The sequence below is a fragment of the Homo sapiens genome, chromosome 1, assembly GCF_000001405.40.
Source record: "Homo sapiens chromosome 1, GRCh38.p14 Primary Assembly".
Classification (NCBI taxonomy): domain Eukaryota; kingdom Metazoa; phylum Chordata; class Mammalia; order Primates; family Hominidae; genus Homo; species Homo sapiens.
The window spans coordinates 248,623,271-248,645,910 of NC_000001.11; the positions used below are offsets into that span (position 1 = coordinate 248,623,271).

General features: G+C 40.7%; 2 protein-coding genes across 2 annotated transcripts; both read right to left on the bottom strand.

Annotated features, from left to right (window-relative positions):
- Positions 1 to 286: 286 nt before the first annotated feature.
- Positions 287 to 11,821, bottom strand: OR2T11 (olfactory receptor family 2 subfamily T member 11). Its single transcript, NM_001001964.2, has 2 exons — positions 11,768 to 11,821; positions 287 to 4,002 (listed from the first exon to the last, which is right to left on the bottom strand). The coding sequence occupies exon 2, from the start codon at positions 3,856 to 3,858 to the stop codon at positions 2,908 to 2,910; it is 951 nt and encodes a 316-aa protein (NP_001001964.1). The 5' UTR covers positions 3,859 to 4,002; positions 11,768 to 11,821; the 3' UTR covers positions 287 to 2,907.
- Positions 11,822 to 13,085: 1,264 nt separating this feature from the next.
- OR2T35 (olfactory receptor family 2 subfamily T member 35 (gene/pseudogene)) lies at positions 13,086 to 22,008 on the bottom strand. The gene is made up of 2 exons (NM_001001827.2): positions 21,977 to 22,008; positions 13,086 to 16,010 (listed from the first exon to the last, which is right to left on the bottom strand). Exon 2 carries the CDS (start codon positions 15,986 to 15,988, stop codon positions 15,017 to 15,019), a length of 972 nt encoding a protein of 323 aa, NP_001001827.1. The 5' UTR covers positions 15,989 to 16,010; positions 21,977 to 22,008; the 3' UTR covers positions 13,086 to 15,016.
- Between the last annotated feature and the right edge of the window lie 632 nt (positions 22,009 to 22,640).

Sequence of the window (22,640 nt, forward strand, 5' to 3'; positions counted from 1 at the left end):
TGGTATCACACAGTATTTTAGTGAAATCTGTGTGCCCATCTCCTCTTGGTGCCAACTACAACTAGGACACTCAGAGCAGGGACATTTTCCCACGCTAAATGGGAACCCATCACCAGAGAAGCCACCACCAAAGCCAAGATTACAGAGAGAATGTTTTAGGAGTAGGGTGGAATTTAACTTCTAAACGTAAATAATTAACATTTTGAAATGAAGTGACAGTGTCACCTTATAATGCAAAATCATGCCATATTATACAAGAAACTCCACACCATGAAGAATTCTGCCTATACAACTTTTAATTGCCCAAAGAGACAAATTTATTGAAATAAACAGCTACTGAACATCTATTACATACTGCAAATTATATGCCTTGGAAAAGCATAAATATGACACACTTTATTCACAAAGGAATAAGTTTGTAGTAGTAACAGCAGTTGCTGCTGTTATTTTGTCCTTGTTTTTAACATAATTCTAGTTAACATATTGAGTGCCTACTATTTTCTGGCCACCATCCCGAACACACATCATGAATCGTCTGACAAATGTGCTGTGCTAAATTCATAAATTCAATGCAAAGGAGGGGGAGTCCGAAGGTTGTCCTACAACCCAGATGTCTCTACTAGCTTATTAACTTACCTCTTCTCCAAGATGATTCTCTTCTCCTCTCAAACTTTTGACGGGACCACCCTGATCTTTACTCATAGACGCTCTCATTGATTCTAACTGCACCGAGAAGATACAAACCATCGGAAGGGATCTTAGTTATAACACACGCTCTGCCTGACCTCCTGCTATTGTCACTGAGTTGGCCATGCTCTTACAAAAGTTCAAACTCTCCACTTCTAAACTGGTTTCTGTGCTTTCGGCCACTCTCAAAGGCCATCTTTCTGAAACTTTCCTCCATTTCTCATATATCGATTTTCTTTTTGTACTGAATTATTCCTTTGAACTTCATACTCAATATCACATGACAGCACCATTAACATCAAACACATTGGTATCACGTTTTTCTAGTTATACTCCATTTCCTTTACAAAAAAATCTAAAAATTCATACTCAACTTACCTTATCCACTTCCTCCCCCTTGATTTTACCCTGAATCATCTCTAAGCATATCTCCATTAAAAATGGTCACTAAGGTTACAAGTAACCTTTCATGTTGCTAAATACAGTAACCAAATCTCACTTATTTCAACCATAGACTGCACTTGTTGCAGTTGCTTTTACTTTCTTTAAACACTTTGTCTTAGATTTCTTCTAACCTCATAAAACCCTATCTTTCTAATTTTTCATGTGACGCCAGCTGCCTCAGATCTCAGTCTCAAGCTTTCTCTTAAGAAAACTCTCAAAAAACCTGTTTTTAAATGCTCTTCGTACTCTGATTATTAAATGTATGCTTTATGTTCAGAACTCTAATCTGAAGTACAATTGACTTTACATATAGCTTCAATATCTTTCTGTATTTATGTATTTATCTTGAGACAAGGCCTCTCTGCCAGTCAGGCTGGAGCACAGTGGTGCCATCACGGCTCACTGCAGCCTCAACTTCTCAGCCTCCCGTGATCCTCCCACCTCAGCCTCCCAAGTAGCTGGGACTACAGGCATGTGCCACCACATCCAACTGATATTTGTGTTTTTGGTAGATGGGGTTTTGCTATGTTGGCAGGCTGGTCTCAAACTCCTGAGCTCAAGCAATCCACCCTCCTTGGTCTCCACTAAAGTGCTGGGAGTACAGGTATGAGCTACTGCACCCGGCCTAGCTTAAATACCTAATAGATATTTCCAAATTATCTTAAGTGAATTCTTGACTTCTGCTACCGACAAGTTTTCCAAATATCAATATTCCATTTTTTTATTCACTTGGGCCCAAACCAATAAGTTATCCTTCACTCTACACCTGTTGCTAACACACGCCAAATCCATGAGCCAAATCCTTTGTGTCCACACCCTACACAAGCCATCCTTGTTTCTCATCTCTGAAACCTCAATTGTCTTCCTGTATCCATGTTTGCCCTTTGTTCTATTTTCCTACACTGTAGGCATAGTGATGCTTTAAAAACGTGTCTGTTATCATGTAACACCCGCATGGAAAACTCCAGGGACTTCCCACCCCACTCAGTCAGTCTCAAAGTGCCTTAAGTGTTGCTGTTGAATCACAGAACTTGGAAAAGGGAAGTTTCTGGCCATGGATGTTAACGAACCTGGTATCCTGTTAATACATCCTCAAGGAAAGTGGCAGTCATGTTCTTTGATGCTAAGTGTTAGAGTCTATTCCCTGTGAGTAGCTGTGTCATGCTGAACCTCCACCCATTCATACTCAGTTCTGTTCAATTCACCACCATTTATTGTGGCCTAGTATTTGATAGCTGCTGTCTGTACTCAAGAGGGTCAGAGATTCAACGATAATATTAGAGCTTATAGTTACTTGGGGTTAATACTAAAATAAAAAACACGACTAAAGTGTGTGCTTTTATCTTCTTTGCCACTTGTGTATTGGCATTCTTTTACTCTATTGCTGCTAATCACAGAATTTGACTGTAAACATTTGATAGCTTTTGCAGGTTTCTTTCATTGTGTTGTTTAAACATGAACAAATGTTGTGAAGGAGATCTAGTTCAGAGTGAAAGGTTGCTGTGAACTCTAATATTTGGGGTTTTTCTTCCCTAAATAAAAAGACTAGATAAATTATTTAACTTCATAATAAACCATTTTTGATACTTCACTGAAAGATCTCTGCATAACAGTAAAACATCTTTCCCTTGCTCCCGAGGAGCAAGAATCCAGACAGGGTGAATCATCTTAACTGCCAGTAGTAAGTGTAGGTTGATAGCTGAGCAGATCATCTCCAGGGAAACAGGGCAAATGGAGGAAGTCCTTAGGAAGCCTTATCCTCTGGGCAGTGACTCTCTAAGCATCACTTGTTGCTACTTTCTGAGCAGATGAGCAACATGCAAATACCTTTTTAAATGCCCCTATGACGTCCTTGTTTCTGAGGCTGTAGATGAGAGGATTAAGCATGGGCGTGACAATGGTATAGAAGGCTGACACTACTTTGTCCTGCTCGGGGGTGTGGAAGGACTGGGGCAGCACGTATGTGTAGAAGGCAGCCCCATAGAAGATGCTAACTACAGTCAAGTGGGAGGAACAAGTGGTGAAGGCCTTTTTGCGACCTTCAGCAGAGGGCATGCGGTGGATGGTTAACAAGATGAGGGAGTAGGAAGTGGAGATGATAGAGATGGGGATGAGCAACATGAGGACACAGCAGATGTACATCAGAGTTTCATACAAGGACGTGTCTGCACAGGCCAGTTTCAGAACTGCTGGGATCTCACAGAAAAAATGGTTGATACTTCGGGAGCCACAGTAAGGGACATTCATGGTGATGGGAGTGAGCAGAAAGCCATCGAGGGAGCCCCCAAACCAGGCACCAGCAGCCAGCAAAAGACACTTCTTGCGGTTCATCAGGACTGGGTATCTCAGAGGGTTACAGACAGCCACGTAGCAGTCATAGGCCATGAGGCCCAGGAGGAAGAACTCAGAACCAATCATGGTCAGGTAGAGGAAGATCTGGATGCCACAGGCCACAAAGGAAATGATCTTCTCTTTAGAAACCATGTCTGCCAGGAGTTTTGGGACAGTGGTACAGATGAAAAGGGTGTCCATGATGGACAGCTGACTGAGCAGAAAGTACATGGGGGTGTGGAGGCGAGAGTCCACCTGAATCAAGAATATCATGACCAAATTTGCAGTCACGGCCCCCAAGAAAACAGCAAGGATCACTGTAAATACAATCCCGGCAGCCTCACTGTTCACCAGAAGCCCCAGGAGGGTGAAGTCAGAGGATGATGTGTTCGTCATTGATATGGCCCACGAGCGTCCCAGGGCAACGGGAAGACACAAGGACCAGGAAGGAGGCAAGAGAACACGGTCAAGATGGGAAAGGTCTGCAGTAGAGGTGACACTTCTGAGGGTACCGTCAGGATGAAGCTTCCAGGCTAGAGGCTAGAGAAGAACAGGCAGACCAACATGCACATCATGAAGCAAAAACCATGGCTGCATTTCCCTGTCAGAGAACAGCTCCTTCTATATTGCGTCTATGGTTCATCATGCTGCTGGAGGTTATGGTAACTGCGTGATACAATTGCTGTATGCTACACCAAGAATGGGGTTTTAACCATATCTGTTCTGTCCATGCTGCATTTCTTGTATCCAGAAAGTTATCCAGCCCATAGTAGGGTTAAGTAAATACTAGTTGGAAAAAAGGGTGATTCATTGACCAAATGGATAAAGGGGAGTGAAGTAAATCACTGAAGAAATGAAGGGTTAGGATAACTATTAGGGAACGTTTTATTCACGAAGCCCCATGTTTCTGTTCTATTTCTTTTTAATTATTTGTATAAGTTTAAGGACGACAAGTGCAGTGTCATGACATGGATGTATCGCATAGTGGAGTCTTGTCTTTTAGGGTAACCGTAAGTCAAATAGCGTAGGTTGTGCTCACATTACTAATTTCTCACCCCTCGCTCCGCTTTCACCCCCTACTCTTCCAAGCCTTCGATGCCTATTATTCCACTGTTTATGTCTAAAGTTGGGACTCCTCACTGTTCTTTGTGCTGTTTTGCTAACCTTTTTGCAGATCTTTCTTCAGATAAATTAGAAGGTAAAAAAAACTATTTGCAAAAAGCTCCCAGAATTAAGTTTTTAAAAAGCAGTTTATGACACTAAGCTGACTCCCTGCATTGCTCTCCATTGCTACTGTAGGTTTGGGAAATGGGCAGGGAAATTAAAGGAAAATGTTGGTAGGTTGAAGCTATGTCAGCAGCAGACACACAGGAGCAGGGTTCACCAAGCTACACGTCTGCCAGCACTTACCAGAACTGAGGCCAGAGCCAAACTCAGGCTTAGAAAGCTACGGAGCAGATACATGGAAATGTGACAGCAACAGGCCACCGTTTAAGAAGGAATTTTATCTTTAACATACCAGGTGGAAGATAGATTTAACTGTTAGACAAGAGAAAGAACCATACATGTAGTAAGAATCGCCCCCCTCTCCCCGCCAGCACCTCCTCCCCGGCATGGTAGGCCTCAGTGGCTTGAGTCTCAAACATTTGTGTAAAAATGAAAGTCCGATCAACGGGGGAGCCCGGATGCTGCAGGGTTTCCCCCCATTCACATGTTGCTAGACACACCTTGGCTCCACTATCTAGTGTTGCCAGATTTAGCAAAGATACAGGATTCTCAGCTATGTTTGACTTTCAGATAATCAAAAAATGTTTTAGTGCAAGTTCATAATGTTCTTAACACCAAAAAAAAGGGTTCACTGTACATCTGAAATTCAAATTTAGCTGGTTGTCCTTTACCATGCTGAAGTCATATCTGGTTTCACAAAGGTACCAGAATTGTTATGACCTTGAAAAGTGACCAGTAGAATCAGTACAAATAGAGTCTAAACAAAAAAGTTATTTACTAACATCAAAATTAAATTGGCTTACTCCCAATTTCCCTCTGATTGATATATTCATATTACTGTGAAAGGGGCTAAGGACTGTGGCCTCCTCTGTCAGGCCTCCCAGAAATACTCCGTGGTCAAAACTCTACTTCAGTGAGTCTTAGCCTCCTGATCCACTCCTGATCGTTTCAATTCTATTCCATTTCCCAAGGATAGTGAACACAAATATTGCCTAAAAATATATTCTGCTAATTCAAAGTCCAAAAATATAAAAGAAACATTCTATATTAGACTCCAAAAACTTCCTAATAGAATTAACCCACACTAAGGAGAAGAGAGCACATCTCTTTGTCATATTAAACAAATTCAAACATTTTATCCAAAATGTATAAAACAGTAAAAACAGGCCAGGTGTGGTGGTTCATGCCTGTAACCCCAGCACTTAGGGAGGCCAGGGCGGAAGGATCACTTGAAGCCAGGAGTTTGAGATGAGCCTGGGTAACAGAGCTCGTCTTTATAAAAAACTAGCCAGGCGTGGTGGTGCACGTCAGTCGTCCCAGCTACTCAGGAGGTCGAGTTGGGAGAATTGCTTGAGGCTAGGAGTTTGAGGTTACAGAGAGCTATGATTGTGCCACTGCACTCCAGCCTGGGTGACAGAGCAAGACCCTGTTTCTAAAAAAGAAATGAATAAGTAAAACTTATTTATTAACAATTAAAAACCTATAATATTTCTCATGTCCATAGCTAGTAGGTGCCTGGCTTAATCCATCATGACACATTTTACCCTGGTTGTTCCACGAACTTTCCCACGATCTCCCTGCTGTCTCATGAATCCCTCCAAGTCTAGTCTCAGCACAACCATCAAAGTCACATCGGGACCCGTGCATCCCGCCACGCCACTTTCTGCTTGAAACCCTGCAGTTGTGCTTTACATCATACATTAAGGCCCATCACGTTCTGAACATTTTGTCTTCTGAAATGATCTCCCGCCGACTCCAGTCTGTCTGTCCCTGGGCTGCAGCGACGGTGGCTTCCTTGTCCTCTGTCCCCACTTTGCAAGAGCCCTGAGCCCAGGCCATTGCCTCTGCTGCTCCCCTTGCCTGGGGCTCCTCCTCCAACCGTGCAAGGCCATCCATCCCCTCATGTACTTCAGGGCTTTGCTCAAAAGCCACCTGCTCAGAGGTCCTATGACTATTTTTCTTCACTTTTCTTAACACCGTCTGACACTACCTTGTGTTTTGTGTCTCTTCAAGCTAGAAAGTAAGCTTCATGTGAATAAGGATTTGTGCCTATTTTGTTAACTGTACTCTCACCATCTAAAGATACGACTGGCACATTGTAAATCTTTGAATAAATCATTTTTAAACACATTCAGCTAGCAAAAATGCAAATTATTTTATGCTTTTTAAGGAATACCTCTAGAATTCCTTCAAAACACCTCCTGATTTTATATAATGTGCTGAAGAGAAATAATTTTTTTTAATGCTAGGCACTTGTGTTTATCTTCAATGCAAAATAGACAAAAAAATGGGATCCACCAATATTTGATCAAAAAAAACTTCATTCTAGGAAAAATAAATAACAAGTTTCTAAGATCAGACAGCAATACAACTTCTAAATCATTAAGGTTTATATACAGTACAAATTTGAGACAATTACGCTCTGGTTTAAAATACTTATAGAGTAATTAAGATGTCAGCATAATTCACAAAAAAAGGAGGGACTTGCCACTTCTTCTGTCTTCTGAATCTGTCCTTGCTCTGACAGCTCTTCAACTCAGGTACCAATTAATAGGTTGAAGATAACTTTAGCTTCAAGTGTTATTATACACCCAGAGATTGTACTGCAGATGTTAATCTAGTTAGAATTCACCTTATGTTAAACAGATAAAATTGTGTATGATTTATTGCAAAATGTCATCTGCCTTCTATGATCAGAATTGTCTTCAATAATGCCATAGGGCTTATTAATTTGCTACTTAAATTGAACGACACTGTAATAGACTTAGTGTTAAATATAACCACATGTGGGCAGAATCATCTTCCACCTCCAGCAAAGGTCCTCATGTGCTAATGTCTGGAACCGATGAATATGCTCTCTTAAGTGGCAAAAAAGACTTTGTGGGTATGATTAAGAACTCTGAGATGAGGAGATTCTTCTGAATTATGCTGTTGGACTCAATTGCAAATGCCAAGGCCTTACATGGGAGAGAGGAGGAAGGAGAGTCAGAGACGTGATATGAAAACAGGTCGGAGGGACTCAGTCGGTCTCCGGGTTTGACGATAGAGGGGACCCCAAGCCAAGGAATGTAGATGGTCTCTAGAAACTGGAGAGGGCTAAGAAATAGATTATCTCCTAAAACCTCATAGAAAAGTAGGTAGCCTTCCCAACATCGTGATTTCAGTCCAGTGAGACCGGTTTCCAACTTCTGACCTCCAGGCTGTGATATTATGAACTTTGTGGTCATTTGGTACCACAGCCATAGGGAGCTTCTATGCTGATAAATGATTTTCTTACTTAGCTTTTAAACAAAACTGAGACATGTTGCAATAATGAATTGGCCAGCACTTGTGTAGTGCTTCTTGCTGGGTCTCAGGCACCGTGGACGTGTGCCAACGTTTCCACGTGCTCTTCACAGCACCTCGACGGGTCGATCACTAATTATCACCATCTCACAGCTGGTAAAACTGAGGCTCAGAGTCAGGTGGGAGGAGCTGGATCCAGGCTCAAGGACTCAACTTTTGTTTTTCATGCTCTCTGCCACTACCCTTAACTTCTCCCCAAAGATAATATCCCTTTGAGCATCACTTCCGTTTACAACCAGCCAAAGAGAAGTTAAATGAATGCAGGGTAAAAGGCCATAAACACACCCAAGGAAAAGTTGAATTTCTGATCACAAGTTGTCAACAAAGCAATAAAGTGACAACATGAAGTTAATAATTTTCCAGAAACACAAAATTCTCCCTAACTCTTGGGCAATTCTCAGTCATTACACACCTGCCTGCAGGTGTCTGGCTTTATACTGAGGTACATAAAAAAAATCTCATCAAATGTACCCCAAGAAAGGTCTTACAAATGCCACTCACACACGTCACTGTTGTGCAATTGCAGAGGGCAATGACTCATCTCCCAGCAGACATCATAAAGCCCCATTCAATAGGCATGTTTCCTGCACAGCATCACCGCTGTCAACATGAAGCCCTGTACGTACTATTCCCTGTTGGGGATCTGAGATTTGAAGATCTCTGTAATGTGGCAGAGTTCACTTAAGGAGAAAATTCCAATGTTTCTAGCATAAAGAAAATACAAATATATATTTAAGGTAATGGATATCTCAATTACATTGATCTTTACAAATCATATGAATGTGTTATCACATGTACCCTAAGAAAAAGAAAAACAGAATGACCCTTGAAGAATCTTAAAATTACATGAAAAACAAATTCATTTCAAAAGAAAAATTACAGAAGTGTGAACTGAGTTTAAATCCTTGTGGAATCAATTGAAATGGTACTAGTGATCCTATCAATGATTTATGAAACAATGAGTTAAATTATGATAATTTTTTTCAACATAATTGTCCTCGTATCCTATATTTTCCTAGGTACTGAAGACCTCTAATGGACAGATTTTTTTAAAAGATAATTTGAAGGGCCAACTGTGTAGTCAGACTTTATATTCTTATGGTGATGTTTACTTTTGTTGTAACACACTAGATCACTTTCTTAGAAGTTCCCTAAAGTTGGGGGTTTGGGGGAACTAAGTTACAGGAGAGTCTCCCTGCTGTGGATTGGGGACAGTTGAGGGACCATTTCTGAAATGATTATTCACAACTTGAGCCAGATCAGATTATCTAGACTTCGTTATTGAACTAAACATCTTTGGAAAATTAACGCTGTTTTTGGCCTCTTGCCAATCAAGCGGTCTTTTCAGGCCTCTCTTAGGTGGAGTCATGAAAACAACTCATCCCTCCCTCTTAATACATGTCTATCACTGCACAGTTAGGGTCACATTCTTCTTACTCTTGCAAGGCGATGAAATGCAATGACATGCACATCTACTCAGCTGGGCCTTGGATTGCCAGAGGCAGAGGGCTTGAACTTAAGTTTATTCTTACCTAGAGCATGATCCCACGAAGCTTCCTTAATAGGATAGCAATGTAGAAGGGCCACAGTGCAGAAATAGAGTTTCAGTCAATCTTATTCAACTTGAACTTCTACATGAGAGCTGGGTTGTATCAACATCGAGGATAAAGGGGGGAATCTCAAACTGCTGGTGGGAATTACAATGGGTTTTCTGTCTTGTTTTCTGGTTTGAGAGCGTGCACTGAGTCAATGCCAGGAGTTTAAAAAATACGTACAAGCTTCCGCTCCTAGGGAAGTGTAGTATGGAAATAATCAGATGAGTGGGCAATTTATTAAAAAAGTCCATTCCGGTGTTATTTGCAATAAGAAAGTGGAAGTAACCTAAGCGTCTGCTAACTGGACATGTACTAAATAATTTAGGTTTTAGTACATAATAGAATTCTAAGTGACCACTGGAATGTGAGGTGATCTATGTTCATCTTCATCCTATAGCAGGTTCATTGTATTCTTAAGTGAAAAGGTGGCATATTTTCAACCTATATAATCATCTCCTTACAACTGTATTCTCTATCTTTGAAATGAAATCCCTTAATACATACACAGCATGTATTATAATCTTGTTCTTAGAAATAATCAAAAAAGGTAAAGATTTTTACAATCTTTCAAATTACACAAAGCCATTATTTGCAAGCATCCCTGCCTTGGGCCAAAATTATATTATCCTTTCTCCCTTTCAAGTAGTTTCCCCAGTTTATACAGGGAGACAGAAAAGCAGTTCTCTTCATTAAAACTTCAGCTATTCAGAAGCTGAGGCCCAAAGATATGGTTTTAACTATGTTCAAACATGTTTTCTGATTTTAATTTTTCCAAGTTTATAGAATACTTCATTAACATCACTGGTCATTTCAATTAAACACTTTGGAAATCCAGGGAAAGAACAATTTTGACAACATCAACTGACATATGTAATCCTAAACTTTGCATTTAAATTTTCAGTCATGAAAGAGTTTTCTGCTTCCACCCTTGAGAAATGCCCCTAATGGGACTTACCTCCTGTTTGCTTCAAAGAAGGACTATATGAAGAATCTAGCAAAAGCCAATGACTTTTTCACATAAGCTCCAATTTTAAAATAGTTAATAGAAATCACTTATCAGTGAAGCTGGAAATAATTTAAGTAGTTTTTTGGTGTTTTTTTTTTTGCTTCTAGCATCACCCTTGACATGCAGTTCTATGTGAGCCTATAAAAGTCTAACTTTGTTAATCTTCAGTTTCCACGTCGTCTCTTCAAACCCGAGATGCCAAGGAAACTTTCTTTTAAAGATTTTTAGAAGGTACTAAGCCTTCTAAAGTGAAAGTTTTCATTCGTTTATTACACTAGTATTTATTAAGGGCAAATTCTATGTTAGGAAAAGTTTTAAGTGCTTGCGATGCCTAACAATTCTTGTTTTTAGGTATGTGATGATTTAACAAAACCAAATAAGCTTAAAGTGCTCATAAAAAATACAATGTGAAACAACCAGAGTTGAAGCTACAGGTATTTATTTACCATTTTATATTCTTAGCTAGTTGTATAAACCAAAGGAATGTAGTCAAAGCAAACCAAGTATTTTCCTGGCCTTTATTACCTGGGATTTAGAAGGAAGCACACAGTGAAATGCTGCTAAGTGTGTGACATGGTCACGGGAGTCACCCAGGTTTAAGAAATCCATCCTCAGTACAATCCCAGCTGAAAAAGAAGCTTAAAAATGCATCTGGTTTTTATCATTTGTGTGTGAATCAGCCTGTTGTTTTAACTAAATAACCTATCGATGCCATAAAGTTGTCTATGAATACAATTGCTTTATGTATGGAACTTCTTTGTAGAGTCAGGACCTGACGTTTCAGTCATTTTGTTTTCACAGAATTGTCAGAATTCTTAGCAGAACTTCACTTCATTTAAAGTCAGTTGTCCAACTTGACAGGGATGTTCTGTCACTTTTTCAGATTTTTAATTTTTGTGGATACAGAGGTCTGCGTTTTTCCTTTATGCTAAATAATTATCTAATTATCTTCAGTTTCTCTGATCATTCCTTTTTGCCTGATATCTTCCTGAGCATTGAATAAAGCAGTTAATAAGGTATGTAATAAGTAGACTTTATGCTTTCTTCTATTACAATTTTATATTGCATATAGATGTTTATTGTATAAAACAAGTCTGTAGAAGCAAGTTAATTTTATATCCATATCCCTTACCTGCAGAAAGACCCCACAGGGAATCTGATTACCCCTCAATGTGGGTCATCAGGTCCTTGGCTAGACCAGCCTAACTAGCATCCAACAGCAAATGAACATGGCTTTTATCAGCATGTTGCTCTGAAGGGACCTTTGTCCCCAGGTCATTATTAGGGTTAACAAGCTGGCAGATACACATTGTGCCATGTGCTTCTCCCCTTTGTTTTGTTTTTGAGACAGTCTTGCTCTGTTGCCAAGGCTGGAGTGCAGTGGCACAATCTTGACTCACTGTAACCTCCACTCTGAGTTCAAGCGATTCTCCTGCCTCACCTACCAAGTAGCTGGGATTACAGGCATGTGCCACCACGCCCAGTTAATTTTTTGTATTTTTAGTAGAGACAGGGTTTCGCCATGTTGGCCAGGCTGGTCTCGAACTCCTGGCCTCAAGTGATCCAACTGCCTCGGCCTCCCAAAGTGCTGAGATTACAGGCGTGAGCCACCATGCCCAGCCACTTCTCTCATTTGTAAATTGTTTATCAGTATCATGGCTTGGCACAAAACACCAGACCAGAGGTTAGAAGACGTGGTTCTGAAGCCCCATCTGCCTCTTGCTGGAATGGGGCAATAATTTGCTGTGAACATCAGCTTCTTCATCTCCCATGGGGCTAATTCTTTCTCTAAATACTTTATAAGAATTTGTGAAGATCAGAATCAAAATCAGGTAATGTAGTTAAATGTTTTCAAAACTAGGGACAGTCTTCTATTTTTTCCTCATTACCTGGATTAGTGCATGCCATGTTTCAGGTATACAACTGATAATTTAGTAACTTAAATATGATGTGTATTACTCAATATTAAAATTTATATATTATTTTAATAAAGAAGCAAATCTGGTGACCACAAATTACCTTATGTAAGAATTTGGTGAGATGACTGGGGAAAAATCCTTGGTCACTCCCTTTTACAGTGGGACTAGTTTTATGTGTGAAGGGAGTGGATACACACCATGTGTAAAATGAGATTAAAATTTTTTTTTAAGTTGTATTAAAGTAGAGCCTAACAGAAAAGCACACACATCAACAGTGGAAAGATTGATAAATCACCAGGAAAAGAACACGTTGATGTAACCACCATGAAATTTGTTGAATAGACTCAAACATTGAATAAGTCACCTCCTTCCATGCCCCGATCACTAATGTCCATGATATCCCTAGAAACTTGTCAAAATGCATTTCGCTTATTGCTTCAGGTATACTCTTGAAATGTCTGTCAATGTTAGAGTTAAATATTCTAGTTAAATATGCAAAGAATTAATCTTGGAAACATAAGAATAAAAGTCCTAATTTTTAATACATAGCAACTGAGGAAATGGGAAAGAAAACACATATCCCAGGATAGAGCACAAATGCAATGTGAACTGAAGGAGTTTTGTAGAGGGAAGATCGAGAAGGTGCTAGCTAAGGCAGGAGAATGGAGAATATGGAGGGCATTAGTGCAGAGACACAAAAGAATAAAATGTGAATGGAGCTGAATTGAAATAACACCGAGGATATTTCATAAATGAATCCTGGTCTGTTTCTTCACTTAATCCCTCCAGGACATTCTTCCATCTCTTTTCCATGTGTTTGATTTCAGGGTAAAGATCAAATTATTAGGAACCTTCTGAATGAAAAGCCACCTAGGGGTTAGCATATTGAAGGGAATATTCTTTATCTACGTCAGCAACAATGGAGGAAACATTTTTCCTTCTATCTGTGTTGACACTAGAACAACATAAGGCTGAGTAACCTTTGCTTAGTCTTTGTCAACTATGTAACCGCTCTGTCCAATGTTTTCTAAGCCTCGTATCAACAAAGAAAATAAACACCAGGTCCGTCAATATTTTTTATGTCTCATATTTCAGGACCTTACACACAGGAGAAACTAAAGTTACATGAATCGTGGGGTCAGTGTAGTCTTTGCTTAGTTAATATTCCACCAAAGTTACACATCTATCAAAGCACCACACCTAACTCCAACTAATTACAAAAATACTTGTCTTCAGCATATCAATGAAGATGTTGAGAATAAGAAAATTGAGCAACTTATTCCACGGGAACTAAGTTAGCTAATAAAATGTCTTGGTTTATTCATTCTACATTTATCTATTAACAATTTGAGCATAAATGGCAGTTTTGTAGGTTTTTGGCCATGTAACAATCTTAATGGCAGAGTCAATTTTCAATCAATGAATCAATATTTCCAGGAATATATTGGACTCCATGTGAATAAAGGCAGGGCAAGTATTTAATTTCAGAGGTAAGTGATAACATTCATAAAATGTAACTAAGAACATGGAACCAAAAATAGTATCACCTTCCTAAATGTTTTCTAATAAAATTGCTACACATTTAGCACTAGAAAATATTTTACTTGTATTGAATGTTTGAAATTAAGTCATCAAGGAGGTGGCAAATGCTCCTTCCAATTTCCATTCAAAAGTTGGTCAGCAATACAGACAGACAGGCAGGACTCATGATCACAGGTTAACAATAGAGACAGGCAGGACTCAATCACGTGTTAGCAATACAGACAGGCAGGACCCATGATCACACGTTAGCAATACAGACAGGCAGGACCCATGATCACACGTTAGCAATACAGACAGGCAGGACTCATGGTCACACGTTAGCAATACAGACAGGCAGGACTCATGGTCACACATTAGCAATATAGACAGGAAGGACTCACGATCACACGTTAGCAATACAGACACAGAAGGACTCATCACACGTTAGCAATACAGACAGGCAGGACTCATGATCACACGTCAGCAATACAGGCAGGCAGGACTCATGATCACACGTTAGCAATACAGACAGGAAGGACTCATGGTCACATGTTAACATGGGCACTTCCAAGAGCTGCTTGGCGTGCCATGAATGGTTTGTAGGGCTACTTGACTGAGAATGCCCTCTGGAAATGTTTGTGAATCCAGTTGAACAAAGTTGACTAATGCGGAGATGCTCACCAACTTCGCTACTGTTCCTAAGTAATCCTTGCAACAGGATGATTTTGCCTGTTAATTTTGAATTGCTGAAAGTGACACTGAACATTCTTCAGAACCAATACCATATTTTCTGTAATAGCTGCGTTATTGGCCGCAGCACCGCAGATGTTTGCACTAGTCCCTGCTAGTCCTTCCTGATCAGTCACCACCCCTGATGCTCTGGGAGTCCCCGCTAATCCTTCCCGATCACAGTCACCACTCTGATACTCTGGGAGTCCCTGCTAGCCCTTCCTGATCACAGTCGCCACCCTGATGCTCTGGGAGGAACCACATCTCCCTAGTACTTTCCTCAGAGCTGCAGCCACATCTTTATTCCTCAAGCTGTAGATGAGTGGGTTGAGCATGGGGGTGAGGATGGTGTAGAAGGCAGACACCACTTTATCTTTCTCTGGAGTGTGGTAGGAGTGGGGCAGCACGTTGGTGTAGAAGGCTGCCCCGTAGAAAACGCTCACCACCATAATGTGGGAGGAACACGTAGCAAAGGCTTTGCGCCGGCCCTCAGCAGAGTTCATCCTGTGGACAGTCAGGAGGATGTGCGTGTAGGACACAGAGATGACAGATAGAGGGATAAGCAGCATCAGCACGCAGCAGGCATACATCAGGGTCTCATAGAGTGACGTGTCTGTGCAAGACAACTTCAGCACGGCTGGGATCTCACAGAAAAAGTGATTGATCTCTCGGGATCTACAGAAGGGGAAACTCATAGTGACAGGAGTCAGCATGAACCCATCCAAGGAACCACCAACCCAGGAGCCGACCACCATGAATAAGCAAACCCTGCGGTTCATGAGGAGAGGGTACCGTAGAGGGTTGCACACAGCCACATAGCGGTCATAGGCCATGAGACCCAGCAGGAAGAATTCCCCTCCAATCAGGGTCAGGTAGAAGATTTGAACTGCACAGCCCAGGAAGGAAATGGTCTTGTCCTTGGACAGGAGGTCCTGGAGCATCTTGGGGACAGTGATACAGATGTAGATGGTATCCATGATGGAGAGCTGGCTGAGCAAGAAGTACATGGGTGTGTGGAGGCGGGAGTCCATGTGGATGAGCAGAATCATGACCAAGTTGGCTGTTATAGCCACCACAAAGATGGAGAAGACTACTGCAAAGAGAAGCCCGGGGAAGGCAGGATGGGTGATGAGGCCTGTGAGGACGAAGTTAGTGGAGTTCTGGAGAAGACCCTCCATGCCCATGGTCCATGACAAGCTCCTTGGGCTGTAAAGGCAGAAATCTGGCAGCTTATTTAACGACCTGATATGTAGGAAGAGCCCACCAGGAATAGTATGTCAGAAGCAGCGTGAGATCAAGAAAAGATCACCTACTTCAGGATCATTTGAAATCCTGGGTTTCAGTATTAATGATCTGTATGATATTGGACAGAAAATTAATCTCTCAACTCAATTTCATCATCTGTGAAAGGTCATCATAGTTCTGTACTCTACAGGCTGGATGTGAGATGTAAATGTAATTCATACAGTACCTGGTTTAGAATCTGATTTTTACTTTGAACTATCTTCTGAATACATTTCATAATCTTATCACTTTTAGATTGAAAGTTTTCTGAGGGTGGTTACTGTGCCTTATTTCCCATTTCGCCTAGCGAAATGATTTGAATTTAAATTGCTCTCTGCATCTCCATCGAGATGATTGTACTAGAGTCATCCACAGACGTCTATTTGTGACTTAAATTGATAGAAAACATCTAGATAACTGACTTTTTTGGCTGCTGTTGTTACTGAACAGCTTTATGAAAGTCAGGAACATCAAAGCAGTACAGATGACCTCATTTGGGGTCAGGAGCCACACTGTCTTGTGGTTAGACTTTTGTCCTGCAAAAGGAGTTCATCTTTTAGGCATGGACTGCTGTGAGAACTTGTGTCTATTTGTTCTCACAGAATAATTTGGGGATCATAAATCTGGCAGGACAACCACCACAAACTGCTTCAGAACAGGGCTTTAGTTTCGTTATCCTGGTGGTCTTTCCAGTTGACAATGAATTCTGCTAAAATTTAGATGCTGCATCATAGAATTCAATCATGACCTCATCTTAAAATATTGTTTAGCCAAAATGTTAGAGTTTCTCTGACAGAGTGGCATCCTGAACCTGTCCTAATATTATATCATCCTAGTAATCCACTGCTACTTGGGTTTTTTCCTCAAGTTTATTTCTCTACCATTTTACTGATCCTTCATGTTTATAAGTAAAAATAACTACAGTCGGGTGCAGTGGCTCCCACCCGTGATCCTAGCACTTTGGGTGGCCGAGGCAGGCAGATCACTTGAGGTCAGGACTTTGAGACCAGCCTGGCCAACATGGTGAAACCTCATCTCTACTAAAAATACAAAGATTAATCGGGCATGGTGGCAGGTGCCTGTACAATCCCAGCTACTCAGGAGGCTGAGGAAGGAGAATCGCTTGAACTTGAGAGGCGGAGGTTGCAGTGAGCTGAGATCGTGCCATTGCACTCCAGCCTGGGGGACAAGAGTAAGACTTTGTCTCAAAAAACAAAACAAGAAAACAAAAACTATAGATGGTAAAGAAATTTCTGAACTCAGACGCGACACAGCAGTATCAAACATTCCTTGAATCAATGGAATGAATTCTCATGCTTTTTTGAGTAATATGAATGTGTGTCCCTTTTATATGTTCAGGAATACTGAGGGATGAATTTTTCTTTATTAGATTATGGTGTATTTCTTCTCATTTTAGTGACAGGATTACTGAAGAAACTTGTTTTCTGTCAAACGTTTTGGCCACCAATACTACAAATGTATCTGAATCTTTTGGTTCTAGAATAGTCAAAATTTACAGTCCCTGAAGCATCAAGGAATAAACTCTCCTTATGTTGAAGCAAAAACAATAGCAACAGTAGAGTTTTCCTTCTTAGTGCTCAGAGATGGAGATATGAGTAATAGGCCTAAAAGATGAATAAACATCCAAAGGGAGAAAGAAAAAAAAGCAATTTTTGTGTTGGTCTGTGCTGAAACTTCAGTTTGTCACACCTTGGTTGAGGAGAAAAAAATACATGAGCATCAAATATTAACTCCTGTCAAGCGTGATAAAAGTCAGCTACTTTTGCCTTCTCTAACAGGTGAAAGATTTTCTTGTGATAGCCACAGCTTCGAATCATGGGTCAAGAGACTATTTAAATATACAATTCCATTTGCAGTGGCTTTTGCAATAGCTTGTTGGAAATTAAAAATATTAATCTCGCAGACAGTAAGTTTGTCTTGACCCACATCTATTGTTTCAGTTAAATGCATTATGGATATTATACATTAATTACTATAGTGTTAGGTTAGCTGACAATCATCCTTTTAAAAATATACTTTGAGGAACTGAAATAGGCAAGAATGAGACAAATGAAAATGACCTAAGAAAATAACCAATTACTTTTGAATCAGAACATGAACCAGAGCATTTTGTTTCATGTAAATAATCAGACTCCACAAGGTATTCAAAGAGGAGGTAAAACACTATTGCCTCAAATGTCTATGATAAAAGGATAAGAACGTTTTCAACCCCTAGATCTTATCTTACTGTAGGATCCCAGAAGAGGAGAGTAAAAAAGCTGAAACAGGAGAAAGATATGATTTTAGCCACCTCATTTTTATACAACCGAGACCGTGTTAAAAAAAAAAAAAAAAAGGTTCCTTGTGAGTGTGAGCGTTGTGCGTACATGTGTGTGTAGTGTGTTCATATGTGAGTGTGTGAGCATGGTATGTGTGGTGTGTGCATCTGTGAGTGGGTGGGGATATGTGTAGGGAAAAGGCCCTGCTAAAGAGCAGAACTACACTGCTTGGCACAAACGAGCAATTCACCCATTTCAATGAAGCCAATATTTAGAACCAAATGTGACATGTTCAAATGCATGCCTAATGTTATTCCATAGGCTACTGGGCATTGCAAGTAGACAGGGAAAATATCTGCATTATGGACAAAACATGTCATCAGTTACTTCTGTTTACATCGGTTCCGAGCATCTACATTTTAACATTAGAGTTGATGCTATTTAGCATTACGACGTGTGGTTTGACTTATTCACACATACAAGATCCTAGATTCCATTCCCCATCAGCTCATCTTTCCCTCACTATCATCATTCTCCACTCTAAGACACTTAGGTTCCCCTTCATCAACTAGTCTTTCCAAAAAAAAAAAAAAAAAAAGAAAAAGAAAAAGAAAAAGCTTTTATTTGCGTGATCAAAGCTTCAGGCTCTTCAAGGCGGCGAATGATTTCTCCCCAGTGCAGATTAGAACATAACCCAGAACCCCTGACCCCCAGGACCAGTTATAACATCACCCAGTGTTGCAACATAATCATCTGGCAGGAATGGGAGGGTGGGAAGATCAAGCCGAGAGGTGGAGGACACCAAGCACAGGAGCTCCACATCTGTTATCTGCACACTTGGGGCTGATGGATGAGGGATGAGTGAGCTCGCCAAGAGGCATTTATTCTACCTGTGGTCTGCCACATGGAGAAGAGGGAAAGGAGAATCTCTGCAGGGTGCCAGGTGATCAAAGCTGTATGTTTCAGGACAACAGCCCTGGAGTTGTTCTGGGAGAAGCCATAGAAATCAAGAACAATTGGTGACTCACCGAAAATTGAAGAGATCTCCAAGAGAAGTCACAGGTTCTTCTACCAGGGAGAAGAGCTTAGAGCAATTCATTCTGACACCCCTTTCTGGGAATTCAGCATGACTAGAGCTATGAGAAGTATCTGCCAGTGTCCTTTCTGTGGCAATAAAGCTGCTAACCAGAACTGATCTTCTCCACTTGACACAACGTACCTGTAAAGCTTGAAAGGGAAGGGTTTTCCATTCCATCCTTAGAGACAGAATGCCTGAAGCACAAACACATTCCGTGTTCAAAACACTCACCTAGCACTGGGTGAGCTATGAAGATTGATAGAACTGACAATATTCTTAAGGGGCACATAGTTAAGTTTGATTAATGTATCATATCAAAAATCCTCATAGAAGCAGATCATTTTAAGTCTAAAGTGGGGATTTCTAAAAATGAAAATATATTGGGGACTTTTTAAAGGTGTTTAGCCACAAATAACAGCTAATGCCATTGTGCTTTGCTCAGCTGTCAAATTGCTCTGGGGATGACACGCATAGTTACTTCTCCAGACCTCAGTGTTCTTTCAGTAAAAGAATGGCATGTCACCAACATGTTACTAATCCTAAGTGCCACATAGCTCTAAGAGTCATCGATTATTTGTTCCTGAATGAGAAAAAGGGGGCCAAGGATAGTATATTGGGATCTTTCTGCTTTGATTAAAGCTTATGAGAGAAGATAATGGTGTGGAAGGCACTAAGAGACGGAGGAAGAGAAACAGGAAGTTTGGTATTCCCCAAACCATAAACCAATAGGGCTTTACGTGTGCCAGGTACTTTAGAAGTTTTACATACATGAAGTCATAGCAAACCAGAAGATGCTATGCATCAGTTTGAGTAGTGGACAAAGGTACAGTTTCCCCTTATCAGTGGGAGACAGTTTTCAAGACCCCCACTGGATATCTGGAACTGCAGACAGTACTGAGCCCTATATATATACCATATTTTATCCCATGCATACATACCTATGATCAAGTTGAATTTATAAGTTAGGCACAGTAAGAGATTAACAATAATAAAATAGAATACCTAAGACAATATACTGTGGCTATAACTTTTTCAGTTTGATGTGACAGCAAAACTTGCATAATTTTTTCCTTCATGATTTCAAAGATAAAGTTTTTCTTAATATAGATCTTGGCAAAGTCAGCTTATGAGGGTTTCTCTCTCCTTAAGTCAAGAACTTTCACCTTTTTAGTTAAAGCAAGCACCTTACAGCCTCTCTTTGGCACATCTAAATCGCCAGCTTCACTAACTCCATCTCTTTGGGGCCATTAAGAAAAACTGAGTTACTTGAACACAAGCACTGAGTCCGCCACAGTCGATTTGATAACCTAGACAGCTACTGAATGACTCGGGGTAGCATAGACAGTGTGAATCAACTACACAGAGGGATGATATTTCCACCACACTACTCAAAATGGTGGGCAATTTAAAATTTGAGATTTTTCATTTAATATTTTTTACACATGGTAGATAGCAACCTGGCGGATTGCAGGTTAACTAAAACTATGGAAATGAAAGTGTTAAAGAGAGGAATACCATGTCAGAATTCTTTACCTCAAAGGTTCAACCCTAGGGCTAGAGACTGAAAGGATCTTAAAGCATGAAACTTTTGAAGAGCATCTAAGTGATCACTGCTTTGAAAATAGTGGATCACAAGAACCAGGAGAAGACAGGAGTCAGTTCAGTTAAACAGTGCAATAGTAGAGAGGGAAACCGGTCTGATTCCGAAACTCGAGACTGAAGGAGAGAGGACATGATCAGAGACAATGTAAATAATGTCAAAAGGCTCGAAAATGGGAATTAGCAGGCACTAGGGGTGGAAGAGAGAGGGGAGAGTCCAGTCTAACTACAGCTGAAGAGCCCGTGGAGAGCTGAGGTGTGTGGGGTGGAGTGCGGCTGGAAAGTGAAGGCAGAGAGACCAGAACTCAGCGTCGAGAAATAAGGTGCAAATGGGAGTTGTTTCAGTCAGAAAGTTACATGCTGAAATAAGGTACTTATGAAAGATCCACCTGGCAGTTTTAGTCTTGAAAGCAAGATTAATATTAATTGCTACTCATAAGTGTTCATAGCCACAGTGGGCTTTGGCCAGGAACTCCTTTTCTTCTTCTACCTACACAAGCTACTCCTGTACTCCGTCTGCTTTTATGAATGAATGCATTTGGACCTTGCTTCCTACATTAATCAGATTTTATCCCCTTCTCTCCACAGCAACGTAGTATCCAATGATGTGAATTTCTCTTTTCCCTTACCTTATCTCCAGTTCTAATTACATACTGCCTTAGTTACCACCCCCCTTTATCTGCCTATTTAAATGGTAACTGTTTTCATTCGTGGAAAAGTAGTCTACTTTCCCTCCCATCCCAACTGACAATTTGGAAATTTTCAGTGTGGAAAGTTAGGCATAAGATAGAAGAGGTTTGCTTGGCTTAAAAAAAAAACAAAACAAAATCAGCACTATAATGGCATGTAGGTGAACATTTATTGAACACTTACTATGCCAGAAATTAGTTCAGTTTGATGAATACAGGTTTTAATGCTACATGCCAACTTACCTAAACTACATTGTCAAGGATATCACCAATGGACTAGAAAGAAAGAAGTACATCTAGTTTCCTGGAGCATTGAGAGTAAAAGGTCTAAATTCCAAGCTGCCAGCAGGAGGGCTGTGATGTGGATGTGCAGGGGAATGCTTCTGGGCAGCAGTGTCAGTTCGTGTGGTGGCAAATAGAAATCAAAGGATCTGGCATATGGCCCATCCAGTCCACCCTGCTAACGCTGTGGAAGAGGAAATGGAGAGTGAGGGCATGGAGGATTACACAGGAGCAGCAGTGGTGAGGTGAGATGAGGTGAGGCGAGCTGAGGTTGGCCCATCTAGTCCACCCTACTAACGCTATGGAAGAGGAAATGGAGAGTGAGGGCATGGAGGATTACACAGGAACAGCAGTGGTGAGGTGAGGTGAGCTGAAGCAAGGGGCAGACACCTGCAGCTATAAACACAATGCACTCATTATTATACCCCTACAGTCTGAGCTTCCAACATGTCCACATCTCCCCCTAGGCTCCAGTTACTCAGCTCAACAGGCTTTTATATGCCATGCTAAGATGGCTTCTACGAGACCTCTAATAGTTTTATTAAAAAAAAAAAGATTATCTTAAGGCACACGTGGATGCCTTATGGGTTAAATAAAAGAGGAAGGAGGTTAAAATGAAATAAAG